This window comes from Homo sapiens, chromosome 20, assembly GCF_000001405.40.
Source record: "Homo sapiens chromosome 20, GRCh38.p14 Primary Assembly".
Lineage (NCBI taxonomy): Eukaryota > Metazoa > Chordata > Mammalia > Primates > Hominidae > Homo > Homo sapiens.
This window is the reverse complement of record NC_000020.11, coordinates 32,610,502-32,624,471: the sequence shown is the minus strand read 5'-3', so window position 1 is coordinate 32,624,471 and position 13,970 is coordinate 32,610,502. Positions and strand designations below refer to the sequence as shown.

The 13,970-nt window shown below is 53.5% G+C and overlaps 4 annotated features.

The window, feature by feature from the left end:
- Positions 668-1,218: an enhancer, noted in NCBI's record as "H3K4me1 hESC enhancer chr20:31211056-31211606 (GRCh37/hg19 assembly coordinates)". NCBI's record gives its function as "activates a minimal SCP1, AML or CMV promoter by ChIP-STARR-seq in primed H9 embryonic stem cells {active_cell/tissue: H9 hESC(primed)}" and the evidence as "EXISTENCE:reporter gene assay evidence [ECO:0000049][PMID:30033119]".
- Positions 4,872-5,372: an enhancer, noted in NCBI's record as "H3K4me1 hESC enhancer chr20:31206902-31207402 (GRCh37/hg19 assembly coordinates)". NCBI's record gives its function as "activates a minimal SCP1, AML or CMV promoter by ChIP-STARR-seq in naive H9 embryonic stem cells {active_cell/tissue: H9 hESC(naive)}" and the evidence as "EXISTENCE:reporter gene assay evidence [ECO:0000049][PMID:30033119]".
- Positions 12,730-13,343: an enhancer, noted in NCBI's record as "H3K27ac-H3K4me1 hESC enhancer chr20:31198931-31199544 (GRCh37/hg19 assembly coordinates)". NCBI's record gives its function as "activates a minimal SCP1, AML or CMV promoter by ChIP-STARR-seq in naive and primed H9 embryonic stem cells {active_cell/tissue: H9 hESC(naive and primed)}" and the evidence as "EXISTENCE:reporter gene assay evidence [ECO:0000049][PMID:30033119]".
- Positions 13,344-13,959: an enhancer, noted in NCBI's record as "H3K27ac-H3K4me1 hESC enhancer chr20:31198315-31198930 (GRCh37/hg19 assembly coordinates)". NCBI's record gives its function as "activates a minimal SCP1, AML or CMV promoter by ChIP-STARR-seq in primed H9 embryonic stem cells {active_cell/tissue: H9 hESC(primed)}" and the evidence as "EXISTENCE:reporter gene assay evidence [ECO:0000049][PMID:30033119]".

Here is a 13,970-nt window from a genome sequence, read left to right as displayed (position 1 = left end):
GTCTAATAGGGAGTTGATGCTCTTTCCTGCTTTCCAGCCAGTTACTATTTCCTTGATATGTAAAAGACCACATTTTCTGGTCGAGCATGGTGGCGGGTGCCTGTAATCCCAGGTACCCAGGAGGCTGAGGCAGGAGAATCGCTTGAACCCGGGAGGTGGGGGTGTAGTGAGCTAAGATCGTCCAAACTGCCCTCCAGCCTAGGGGAGAGAGGAAGACTCGGTCTCAAAAAAAAAAAAGACTTCACATTTTCTCCTTTGTAAAATTATAGGCATTTTTTAAAAGGTAAGTGGGAGAGGGAGGGTAGTTCTTAACCCACAGTAGAGGGAGGGTAGTTCTTAACCCACAGTGGCGACAATGGCGCTGGCTGCTGGTGGCTCTTGGGCCCAGTGGTGCCACTGGGGGTTTTCTCCAGAGTCTCCAAGGCCCCTAACAGGCCAAGGGCAGAAGGCCTTGCTCGTGGTGGCAGCGACCTTCAAGTGTGCATACGGGACCCGGCATTTGTGAGGGGTCCAGCAGGGGTCAGACTGCCCTAGATCCGTACCAAAAGTTGCTGGGACCGCAGAAATTGGAGAAGCTTCTGGAAGCCTGGCAGCAGCACACTTGACCTCTCTCTCTGGGCTTCCCGAGGCTGGGCCGGTGAACCGAGGCCCCCTAGCCTGCCCGCTGCTCGGGGAATATTGTCACCAGCAGGCCAGGCAGGTGGCGGCTCGTGCTGCAGGTGCTGTGTCACCTGAGCCGGGGTCATGGCCCCTCCACAGGGAGGAGGGAGCCAGGCTCACAGCACAGCCTGCCCGCCGGCCCTCTTCCCCACCGCCACAGAGGAACCATGGCCAGGAGCCTTTCCTGGCCCAGAATCTGGAATGAGGATGCTGTTTTCTCTACCCCACCCACACCCAAGCCCCTACCAGGAGTCAGGTGCCAGTGGGAACTGGGACTGGGGAGAAGGTCCAGCACCTATGAGGCGTGGTCCAGCCTGGCTCACTCTACTGCCCTCCTTTGCTGTTGCTCAGACATTTCAAGTACGAGCCCACTTCATGCCTTTGCACCTGCTGTTCCCTCTGCCTACAATGCCCTTGCCTCGGTGTCCCCAGGGCAAACTCCACACTGCTTTTTTCTTTTTTTCTTTTTTTGAGACAGGATCTCACTCTGTTGCCCAGGCTGAAGTGCAGTGGCACAGCCATGGCTCACTGCAGCCTTGACCTTCCCCTGGGCTCAAGCGATCCTCCCACCTCAGCCTCCAAGAGTAGCCCTGGATTTAACTTCTGGCTTTGCTACTTAACCCTCAAGTGGCCTTGGACAGTCACCATTTTCAGCCTCAGTTTCCCCACCTGTCAATGGGGACTGAGAAGACAGAATGAGATGGTGAGTGTTGGCCAGCCCAGAAAGAGTAGACAGGAAGCTTGAGCTCCTTTCTCCTCTCCCTTCCCTGACCTCTCCCTTCCCTAGGAGAGGAGTGGGGCCAAACCAAACCAAAACCAAACAAAATTGCTGGAAGCCTGACAGGTCTAACGATGGTTTGTAAGATGCCCTGCTCGAGCCGGATGTGCTGTCAGCTTGGCGTCCAGATGGGCACCCTAGAGCAGGGCACGCCTGGCCAGCGCAGTGCACAGATGGTGAAAGCACAGGAGGCCACAGCCAGGCCTCCGGAGCCAGAGCCAGGACTGCAGCGACGGGCAGTGGAGGTGGCGGTGGCCCCTCGGCCTCCAGGCCGTTGCTTCCTCCTGGTGGGCCTCAGCTGCCCGGGTCGGGCTCTGCCACTGGCAGTTGCACTGCGGGACACCAAGCATCGCCAGCCTTCAGGAATCCTTCTCCCTCCCTGACCCTGTCCCCCTGTGACAAGGCAGACAGCGGAGGTCCCAGGAGCAGTCTTGAGCTCTGCGCCTGGGAGGTGGTAGAGTCAGGACATGAACCCCAGGCTCTGTCTGCACTGCCAGGTCCCCTCCAGAACACCCAAGATCCTTGCAGGGTGGGGCAGTCCCTCTGGCCTCAGCACTCTGAGATTTTCTTCTCCCAGAATCTTGCAAGGCAGCCTGTGCAGCTTAGGCCGCCACGGTCCCCACGCCACAGATGGTACAGGGCGCAGCTTCATTCGCTTTAAACCTCGTTCGGAGCCTGTTAAGCCCCTGCTCAGAGCCCTCCATAGCCTTCTGCCATCCCCGGAGGAATCCAGCACCCACGAGGCATGGCCTAGCCTGGCTGCCTGTCCCCCTGGCTCACTCTACTGCCCCTCTTTGCTGTTGCTCAGACATTTCAAGCACGAGCCCACCTCATGCCTTTGCACCTGCTGTTCCCTCTGCCTACAATGGCCTTCCCCCAGTGTCCCCGGGGCAAACTCCACACCGCTTTTTTTTTCTTCTTTTTTTGAGACAAGATCTCACTCTGTTGCCCAGGCTGAAGTGCAGTGGCACAACCATGGCTCACTGCAGCCTCCACCTTCCTGGGTTCAAGTGATCCTCCCATCTCAGCCTCCAAGAGTAGCTGGGATCACAGCGTGCACTACCACACCCGGCTTTTTGGTAGATACGGAGTCTCTCTCTGTTACCCAGGAAGGTCTTGAACTCCTGGCCTCAACGGATCCTCCCACCTCAACCTCTCAAAGTGCTGGGATTACAGGCACCCAACCCACACTTCTTCAAGTCTCTACTGTCACATGCCCTCCTCCTCCGAGCCCTCCCTGACCATCTGAAGGCACCTCCCCTCTCAATTGGTCTGCTCTCTTCTTCTTAGTGCTCATATTATACATATCTTGATTGCCTGTCACACCCCTGCCCCCTGAGAATGTGAGCTCCAAAACGGTGGGAGCTTTCTCTTGTTCAAGGCTGAATCCCAGGGCCCTAGCACCATGCCTGGCACAGAGGAGTCACTGATACATTTGTTGAATGAATGAATGATCAAATGAGCAAATTCATCACTCAGCAAACATTTATGAGCACCTATTGTGGTCAAGATCTTGCTGTAGGTACGGGACCCAGGGAACCAAATCCCTCATACCGGGGCCTCAAGGGAACACATAGCAGAGAACAGAAGGGAGGTAATGAGGACCCTGATGGGCCTGGGTTCTCATCCAAGCCCATCCTCCATTTTCCAGCCGAAAGGTCTGCAGCTTGGCATTTGGCCTGTCTGAGCCTCACAGTCCTCATCTACACAGTGGAACTGAAAATATCTCCCCACCTCCCCACCCCAGCCTCCTCCCCACCCTAGTCTCCTCCCTACCCCAGCCTCCTCCCCACCAATCCAGCCTCCTCCCCACCCCAGCCTCCTTCCCACCAACCCACACCAGCCTCCTCTGCACTCCAGCTTCCTCCCCACTCTAGCCTCCTCCCCACCATCCCACCCCCAGCCTCCTCCCCACCCCAGCCTCCCCACCAACCTACCCCAGCCTCCTCCCCACCTCAGCCCCCTCCCCACTATCCCACCCCCAGCCTCATCCCCACCAACTCACTCAAGCCTCCTTCCCACCCCAGCCACCCTGGTGAATCTATAATCCATTATCCACACGGCAGCCAGAGGGGCCTTTCTTTTTCATTTTCTTTTTTCTTTTTTTCTTTACTTCCAAAAAGTATTTATTTATTTATTTTTGACTAGGTAACAAATTTGCATGGTTCAAAATTCAAAAGGTGCAAGAAAAAATGTAGAAATGATCCCTCCCACCCAGTCCAGCCAGCCAGGACTCCTCCTCACAGGCAGGCAGCTTCTCCTATTTTCATCTATCATGCCAGAGATAATTTTATGTATATACAATGCATACCTTTTTTTTTTTTAAAGCCGACAGTAGCATACTGTGCATGTGGTTCTGTCCTGTTCATTTTTCATTTGACAATTTAATCTGGAGACTTTTCAGAGGGTCTTTTATTTTTTATTTTTTTTGTAGAGACAGGGTCTTGCTCTGTCGCCCAGGCTGGAGTGCAGTGGTGTGACCATACTTCACTGCAGCCTCAACCTTCTGGGCTCAAGTGATCCTTCCCACTCAGCCTCTTGAATAGCTGGGACCGCAGGTGTGCACCATCACACATAGTTTTTTTTTTTTTTAATTTGAGACGGTGTCTCCTTCTGTCACCCAGGCAGGAGTGCAATGGTGCAATCTCGGCTCACTGCAACCTCCACCTCCTGGGTTCAAGCAATTCTCCTGCCTCAGCCTCCTGAGTAGTAGCTGGGAGTTCAGGCATGCACCACCAAGCCTGGCTAAGTCTTTTTTTTTTTGTATTTTTAGTAGAGATGAGCTCTCGCCATGTTGGCCAGGCTGGTCTCGAACTCCTGACCTCAGGTGATCCACCCGCCTTGGCCTCCCAAAGTGCTGGGATTACAGGCTTGAGCCACTGTGCCCGGTCTAAATTAAAAAACATATATATAGAGAGACAGGGTCTTGCTATTTTGTCCATGTTGGTCTCAAACTCTTACCCTCAAGTGATCCTCCCATCTCAGCCACTCAAAGCACTAGGATTACAGGCACAACCCACTGTGTCTGGCATTCAGGGGATCTTTTTAAAATAGATAACCAATCCAATAAATAGATAAACCAATAAAATAGATAACCAATCCATCCCCTGCAAACCAGCCCTGTGGCAGATCTTCATCATTCTTAGAATAAAATTCAAACGTCTACAGGGTCTCCCAGGAGCTGGCCGCTGCCGTCCTCTCTGACCTCTCCTCCCACCTCTCTCCCGCTGGCTCGCTGTGCTCCAGCCACGCTGGCCCCTCTCTGTTCCTCCAATACTGCAGGCAAAGCCCCTCCCAGGGCCCCTGCACTTGCGGTTCTCACCGCCCTCTTCTTCTGAAAGCCTCTCAGCTCCCTCTCTGTTTTTCCAGGTCTGTCATCAATTGCCACCTGCCCAGGGAGGCTCTCCTTGATTATCCTAACTGAAATCTCCCCCCTCCCCCCTGTCCCTTTACTCGTCTTTGTTTTCTAGATATACCGATTACCATTTTTGAGGAGATATATTTGGTCACTGTCTGACTCTTCCACCAGACCGAGTTCCATGAAGTGAGAGGACTGGGTCTGTTTCGGTTACCGTCCATCCTAACACCTGGATTTTGACAAATACTCCGGCTGGGCACAGTGGCTCATGCCTGTAATTCCAGCTCTTTGGGAGACCGAGGCAGGTGGATCACCTGAGGCCAGGAGTTCAAGACCAGCCTGGCCAATATGGCGAAACCCTGTCACTACTAAAAAATACAAAAATTAACCGGGCGTGGTGGCGGGCGCCTGTAATCCCAGCCACTCGGGAGGCTGAGGCAGGAGAATTGCTTGAACCTGGGAGGCGGAGGTTGCAGTGAGCCGAGATGTGCCACTGCACTCCAGCCTGGGCCACAGAGCGAGACTCCATCTCAAAAAACAAACAAAAAATCAAGTACTCCATAAATATTTGTTCTCTGAGCTAATACATGGGTCCCCATTTTACAGATGAGGAAACTGGAAGTGCAGAGAAGGGGAAACCCTTGCCCGGAGTCAGGGTGGAGTCATTGAAAGTCAACCTGGGTTCCCATTGGAGCTCCAGCCACCATTTCCTAGCTGTGTGGTCTGGGGCTGGACTTTTGCCCCCTCTGAGCCTGCCAGTCCTCACCGCCCATCCTGGGCTCTGCGAGGAAAATGAGATGGGTGTCCCTGGTGTTTTCCTGGGGGACCACCAGGAGCCCCACCCAGCTGGCCCATTAATGACAATGAGAAGGTTCCCGGCCATTAACAGTATTTTTAAGCAACAATCCCAAGGAAATATTTTTTAAATCCCGAGGAGTGCTATGGAACAGCTCTGAATTATTAACTGTCCGGCTGCCCTGCTGTATTTCTTGACAGAGTTTATTCTGACATGCACTATTTTCCTCCTGGTAATTTATGAAAAGCTCATTCTCTTCTTCAGGAAATTGCACCCCATTCTCCTGAGCATCCCACCCCAATTGGAATGTATACTGGGTAAATTCAACAAACTTTTATCCTTTTTATTTATTTTTCATTTTTTTATTTTATTATTATTTTTTTAAGAGACAAGATCTCACTTGGTTGCCCAGGCTGGAGTGCAGTGGCGTAATCATGGTTCACTGCAGGCTCAACCTCCTGTGTTCGAGTGATCCTCCTGCCTCAGCCTCCCAGGTAGCTGGGACTACAGGTATGCGCCACCACACCTGGTTGATTTATTTTATTTTATTGTTTTCTTTAGAGATGAGGTCTCGCTGTGTTGCCCAGGCTAGTCTTGAACTCCTGGGCTCAAGTGATCCTACTGCCTCAGCCTCCCAATGCGCTGGGATTATAGGCTTGAGCCACTGTCCCTGGCCCAACTTTTGTCTTTAAAGAGTGTCTGCTGTCCTGCATGATATCAGAGGACATTTCCCAGTGCACTGCAGCCATGTTTTCCAAAATGCACAGCCTGGGGCTTTTAAGGAATTCAATAGAACCTTGTCAATTAGGATGAATGAATCACTGGAATAATTTCACCTGCATCCCCAGCAATAACCGCCCCCCCGCTCCCCCAACTCTCATGCCTGGTGGGGAGATCTCTCATCTGCTTCATATCCAGGTGGTCCTGGGTTCGAGCCCCAATGGAGTGCTCATTTCCTGGGACCCAGCTGCTCTGGCCTCTTCGTTGCCCACCCTGTCCCAGGCTGAGGCCTGTCAGGGACACAGACAGAGTCAAATGAACTGAGATTTAGAGGCAGAGGCCCTAGGTTTCAGTCCTGTCAGCATCACAGGCTAAGCCGATCATCCTTGGGCTAAGTCACCCAACCTCTCTGATCCTGTTGGTTTGTTTGTTTGTTTGTTTTGAGATGGAGTCTCGCTGTGTCACCCAGGCTGAAGTGCAGTGGCACGACCTCGGCTCACTGCAACCTCTGCCTCCCGGGTTCAAGCGATTCTCCTGCCTCAGCCTCCCGAGTAGCTGGGATTACAGGTGCCCGCCACCATAGCCAGCTAATTTTTGTAATTTTAGTAGAGACGGAGTTTCACCATGTTGGCCAGGCTGGTTTTGAATTCCTGACCTCAGGCAATCTGACCACCTTGGCCTCCCAAAGTGCTGGGGTTACAGGGATGAGCCACCATGCCCAGCCTCCATTTTTTTTTCTTATTCAGTTTTTTCTTCCGTCAAACAGGGAGTGACAATCCGAATTCAAAGAGATAGGATCCAAATTCAGGAGATTAAGGCATCATCTCTGCAAACAGAGGGAGATCACCTTGTGCTGCCCCAGGGGAGATCCAAGCTAGGACTTGCCCTCAGGGAGCTCATTCTAGGTTGAGAGTCAGACCAACTGAACACACAAATAAATCAAAGAAATGGCAGATGCTGTTAGGAGCTATGGAGAAAATAAAGCTGGGAGCCAGGGTGGGAAGTGTTGGGGGTGCTATTTTCAGTAGGGGTCTAGGACAGAGGTCTCCTCCATCCCTCCTCTCCCTGCAGTAGGGAAGACTTTGTCGCCCAGGAGACCTTTGGTAGTATCTGAAGATTTTGGTGTCACCACTGGGAGTGGGTGCTACTGGCATCTAGTGGGTAGAGGCCAGAGATGCTGCTAAACGTCCTACAGTGCCCGGGACAGGCTGCACAACAGAGTCATCGGCCCAAGTGTCACTAGTGCTGGGGCTGAGAATCCCTGAGGTAGGGCCTGTGAACCATCACAAGGCCTTGAGCTTTTCCTCTGAGTGATCCAGAAGCCAGGAGAGGGCTTGAAGCAGAGGAAAGACACCACCTGTTTTAGAAGAACCCCTGTGACTGCTGGGCAGGAAATGGGTTGTATTGGGGAGCAGGGGTGGCAGATGTGTCCTCCGACGCCGGTGTAGAATCCACTCTGCCACTCACTGAACTCAGCACTAGGTGCATACACAACCACAAACAAGACACCAGGGCCTGCCCTCCCTGAACTTATGTTCTACTCAGGGGAGAAAGTCAGACAAAGTCTTGCTCTGTCCCAGGCCCTTGATTGGCTCCTCCTATCACCCTTGGGACCAGCCCCAGGGCCCAGGGGCTCTGCTGACCCCTTGCTGGCCTCTCCAGTACCCTGCTCCTCCTTGCTTACTCCTGCGTCCTTTGGTTGTACCAGATGTGTGCTGGCCCCAGGTGGGGCAGATCCTTGCAATGCCGTGTCCTCTGCCCCAGCGCTCACAAGGCCCCTCCCTCCTCCCCCTTGATGCTTTCTCTCTCTCTCTCTCTCTTTCAGACAGGGTATTGCTCTGTGGCCCAGGCTGGGGTGCAGTGGCACAATCATGGTTCACTGCAGCCTTGAACTCCTGGGCTCAAGTGATCCTCTTGCCTCAGCCTCCTGAGTATCTGGGACTACGGGTGTGCACCAGTACGACCAGCTAACTTTTTCATGTTTTGTAGAGGCAGGGTCTCACTATGTTGTCCAGCTGGTCTCTAACTACTGGCCTCCCACAATCCTCCTGCCTCAGCCTCCCAAAGTGCTGGGATTACAGGCGTGAGCCATAGCCCATGGCCCCCGATTCTTCTCAGATGTTACCTCCTTTGAGAATGGCTCCTCCACCTTCAGCCACCCTGTGAAAACAGCTTTTCCCTCACCCTCTCCCTCCTGGCTCCTTACTCTGCTTCTCTCCATCCATCCTTCACCCTCCCATTCATGCAGGCTTCCATCTATTCATTTGTTCATTCATTCACTCAACAAATACAGTGGCTCACACCTGTAATCCCAGCACTTTGGGAAGCCGAAGAGGGAGGATCTCTATCTTTTTTCTTTTTTTTGAGACAAGAATCTGGCTCTGTCACCCAGGCTGAAGTCCAGCGGTACGATCTTGGCTCACTGCAACCCCTGCCTCCCAAGTTCAAGTGATTCTCCTGCCTCAGCCTCCCGAGTAGCTGGGATTACAGGCGTGTGCCACTGTGCCTGGCTAATTTTTGTATTTTTAGTAGAGATGGGGTTTCGCCATGTTGACCAGGCTGGTCTTGAACTCCTGACCTCAGGTGATCTGCCTGCCTTGACCTCACAAAGTGCTGGGATTACAGGCATGAGCCACTGCACCCAGCCAAGGGAGGATCTCTTGAGCCCACGAGTTCAAGGCCAGTCTGAGCAACGTAGTGAGACCCTGTCTCTACAAAAAAAAAAAAAAAAAAAAAAAAAAGTAAAAAAATTAGCCAGGTATGATGGCATATGCCAGTAGTTCCAGCTACTTGGGGGGCTGAGACAGGAGAATTTCTTGAGCCCAGAAGTTTGAGGCTACAGTGAGCTATGATCACACTATTGCACTCCAGCCTGTGTGCAGTTTATTTAAAACCTTTATATTTAAAATAAATAAACTAATACTCAATGAGCTTGACTTAGTGCCAGATGCTATGCTAGGTACAGGGGCCTAGCGGGGAATGGGACAGACAGAGCCCCAGGCCCATGCTGGTTTGTGTCCTGGGGGACAGATGTTACTAACCATGCAAGCACATGCCTGCAGCTGTAAGAAGAGCTGTAAAATAAAAGTCCAGGCTGGGGGTCAAGGAGGGCTTCTTTGTGGAAGTGGCTGCTGACTTGAGATCTGAAGGGGAGTAGGAAGTAGGTGGGTGAAATGTGGGTATGTTGGCTCTGAGGCTGGGGATGGGTGGCAGAGGAGTGTTCTAAGTCTTGGAGTGGGTGAGAGCATGGTGCCTGTTGGAGACAGCAAGGAGACCACTTAATAGCAGAGCACAGAGGGATCGGAGATTGCGTGAAGGCAGTGGAAGATGAGGTCCAGAGGTAACTCAGTCCCAGTTAGGAGCTCCAGGAGAGCCAGTGGGAGATTTGAGGCGGTGGGAAGTAGGTGCTAATTTACATCATAACTCCTCCTACTGCCCTCAGAGAATGACCTGAAGTAGGGTTTGGAAGGCAGCAGGGAGCCTAGTGAGATGGGTGCTGCGGTGTCCAGGCTAGAGGGGGTAGTGGCCTTTGTTGGGAGGTGGTAGGGGAGTTGGAGAGAGAGTTAGAGGTAAAATAGATGGGCTCTGGGAGTAGAGTGGATATGAGAACTGAGAGCAAGGAAGGAGTGAAGGACTCATTTGCCCATTGAATTTCCCTTTACCTAAGTGGAATCAGGCAGAGCTCATGCTGGGCACTAAGGAGTCTACCAGTTCAGGGACCCTTCTCTCCATCCATCCATTCACCCATCCACCCTCCCATCCATCCTCCCATCCATCCATTCACCCATCCACCCTCCCATCCATCCATTCACCCATCCACCCTCCCATGCAGCCACCCATCCACCCTCCCATCCAGCCTCCCATCCATCCATTCAGCCATCCACCCTCCCATCCAGCCTCCCATCCATCCATTCACCCATCCACCCTCCCATTCAGCCTCCCATCCATCCATTCACCCATCCACCCTCCCATCCAGCCTCCTATCCATCCATTCACCCATCCACCCTCCCATCCATCCATTCACCCATCCACCTTCCCATCCAGCCTCCTATCCAGCCAGCCCACCAGCTGGCCAGCCAGTCAGCCTCTCATCCATCCATTTGTCCATTCATCCAGCCATTCCCCCATTAATCCATCTAGCCTCCCATCCATTCATCCGTCCATCCATCCATTAATCCATCCATCTGCCCATCCACCCATCTGCCCATTCATCCATCCATCCATCCATCCATCCATCCATCCATCCTCCCATCCATTCATCAGCCAGCCTCCTGTCCATCCATCCATCCACTTATTTATTCATTCATTCACTCATTCATTCATTAATTCATCCATTCATCCATCCATCCGTCCACCCACCTATCCATCCCAGCCTCCTATCCATTCATCCAGCCAGCCTCCTATGCACCCTCCTATCCATCCAGCCAAATGGCCAGCCAGTCAGCCTCTCATCCATCCATGCATTTGTCCATTCATCCAGCCAGCCATTCATCCATCCAGCTTCCCATCCTTTCATCTTTCCACCGATTCATCCATCCAGACTCCCATCTGTCCATCCATCCATCTATCCATCCATCCATTCATCCAGCCTCCCATCCATCCATCTATCCATCCATCTATCCATTCATCCAGCCTCCCATCCATCCATCTATCCATTCATCCATCCATCCACCCACCCTCCTGTCCATCCATTCATTCATTCATCCACCCATCCATCCAGCCAGCCTCTCATCCATCCATCCATCCATCCATCCATCCATCCATCCATCCACCCACCCATCCTCCCATCCATCCATCCATCCATCCATCCATCCATCCATCCATGCATGCATCTATCTGTCCATTTATTCATTCATCCATCCATCCATTGATTCATCCACCCACCCATCCATTCATCTATCCATCCATCCTCCCATCCACCCTCCCATTCATCCATCCATCCATCTTTCTACTGTGCATTCCTCAGCATCTACTCTATCAGGCTGAGTGTTGAGACCCAGGGACCAGAAGGCCTAGGATTCAGCCAGCTAACACTGGGAATCTGGAAGACTGGTTTCAGTCAGTGGATCTTAGCAAGGCTAGAAGGGGGCTTAGCAGTTGCAGAGGCCAGATGCCATTGTTCCAGGGACAGTAAGGCCTGGGAAAGCTCAGGGGCCCATCTGAGATTACATGACTAGGCAGCAGGAGGATCAAGCCTGGAGCCAGAGAGGCCTCATGCCTCCCACTGCAGCCCTTTCTCCATGTGTCTTGGTAACTGTGCCTGGCACCTATAGATCCCCAAGGAAGCCCTGCAGCTGGCAGAGGAGCAGCCTTCCTGTGCCCAGGCCCCTTCTCGCAGGCCTCCTTGTCCCACCCCCACCCTCACCCCAATAGCTGCAAGAGAGACCTGGCTGGGAAAATGCTTCTGTGTTGTCCAAAGGGCCCTGGGATGCTGATTCATGGCTCACAGGAGCTGCCTGTTAAATATGTGGAGCTTGGCTATAGCCTGTGCCTGTCTCTTTAAGGAGGCCTTGGGCCTCCTTGCTCAGCCAACATTCCCTAAGGAACTGGGCAGGCCTGGTGGCTCCTCTGGCATAGGCCTACTGACTTCAACTTGTTAAGGCAGCCTGAGGCGGGGCCCACAGGTCCTTGGGTGGGGGAGGGAGGACCAGGGGCTCAGAGGAGCCCTCCCTTATCCAAGATCCTAGTCTTTGGAAGGGAGGGAAATTGGATCCCAGACCAGGTAGCTGGACCCGAAAGCCTGGGCTTGTGGCACTTGGGAGGTCCTGAGTTAGGATGACCAGCTGTCCAGCTTGCCTGAGACTGAGGGGTATAAACTGTGATGGTCCCAGGCAAACTGGGATTCCATCAAGAGCGAAGTCATCCCCATGCCTGGGCAGGCAGTCTTCTCTGCTGACCGAGCTCTGTGGGGTGCAGAATTCCTGGGTTCCAGAGGCTGCCCCACCTGAGACATGGCTGTATGACCTTCGACAGGGCTCCTCATATCTCTGAGCTTTCATTTCTTCTGCTGTAACATGAGGGTGTGGTCACTGCCCTGCCCCTTTCAGGCCAATGGGAGATGCTGGGAGGTAATGGCTGCCAGAGTAACTTCATCCTTCGTTTGAATCTCTGTGCCCTGGGGCAAATGTCTTTTGAGCCTCTGGATAGCCCAATGTGGGGAAGAGGGTTCACTGATTCACTCAGCACAGGGCCCGGCGCCTGTGCTCAGTGCATATTGAATGAATGCATGCGTGGAAAGTTAAATGTGCATCCATGCCTCCTCTGTGAACAGAGCTGGAGAAACAGAAGAATAAGACCATCTTGGCTCTCAAGGGGTCATCTTTAGTGGGAGGGGGAAAGAAAAGGAGTCAGTGTCCAGAGTGGCCCTGTTTGGAGCTTCTGGGCTGTACTACTTCCCAGCCAGGAGAACTTGGGGAGCTCTCTTTACTGCTGCATGCCTCAATAATCTCCCAGTGAAAACAGCATTAAAAATGGCACCCTCCCTGTAGGTTGTTAAAGGAGTAAGCCGTGTGCACACAGCTCAGTGCCCGGCATGGTGTCAGTTATTATGACTGCAATTGTTATGTGAGGGAGGCAGATGGGAGGAGGGAAGTTGCCAGGAGAGGGGGCAGCAGCATGGGGAAGAGCCAGGAACCTGTGAGGGTGACCTTGGGGAGGGTGCCCGGCCTCTGTCTCACTGGTGGTTACAGAAGGAGTTGGAAGCCAGCATCTCTCGGGCCTCTGGGGTCTGCCAGCTTGCGAGTCTGTACTGAGCTTTCAGGAAGCTCAGCTGCCTACCATGGCGAGGCTGGAGGAGGTGGGGTGGAAGGGCTGGCCCTCCCGGGTGCAAGCCCCTCTGCCTGCCCACAGCTTGGCTGGGCAAGGGTTGGATCCAAGCACAAATCATGTAGCTGGTTACTGTGCCAAGCAATCTCCAGCCTTTCCACGGGACCACAGTCTAAATCCACGGCAGCTTAAGGTTCCCCACCCCCTGCTGAGCAAGGTTGGGGCAACCATTTCCTGTCCCAGAGCCACCTCTTCCCCAGGCCCTATCCAGACAGACCTCCTTCAGCTCTGCCAGGGAGGCCCTCTCATCCTCCATGAGCAGACGAGGAAGCTGAAGCATCCCTGCGAGCAGGCAGAGCCGAGAGGACAGGACGTGGGCAGTCGGTCTCCACCTGCTGCCTCCTGGGCTCTGGGGCATTCATGGCAGGGACAGATGACAGGGCTTCTCCCCTGGGGGAGGACACAGTGGCACCAGGGCATTATCTGAGCCCACCACCTGTGCCAGCAGGCCTACAGCCCACAGGCTCCGGTGCCCAGTGCTGCTGGTGTCTGCCCTGCTCCAGGATTCACGGGGGGCTCTGTAGCCAGGCTCACTCATGAAGCAAAGGCCAAAGTGGCCCCAGCTGACTCCTCTGCTAGCTCAGGAACTCAAGTCCAGGGCCAGGGGCTCCACAGTGAGCCAGTGGGTAAGGGGCCCACAGCCTGCCACTGCACTGGGCGGGCAAGGGTCCCGAGCCACTTCCGGGCACCCGCTCACTCGCTCGGCGGCGTTTGCCATAATTATCCAGCCATCCCCTTCAAGTGTATGGCAACCATAGCAACAGACAGATGTTCTGTCCCAGCCACGGTCCACAGCAAGGCAGGAGCCAAGCACAAAATTTAACCCTTTCCAG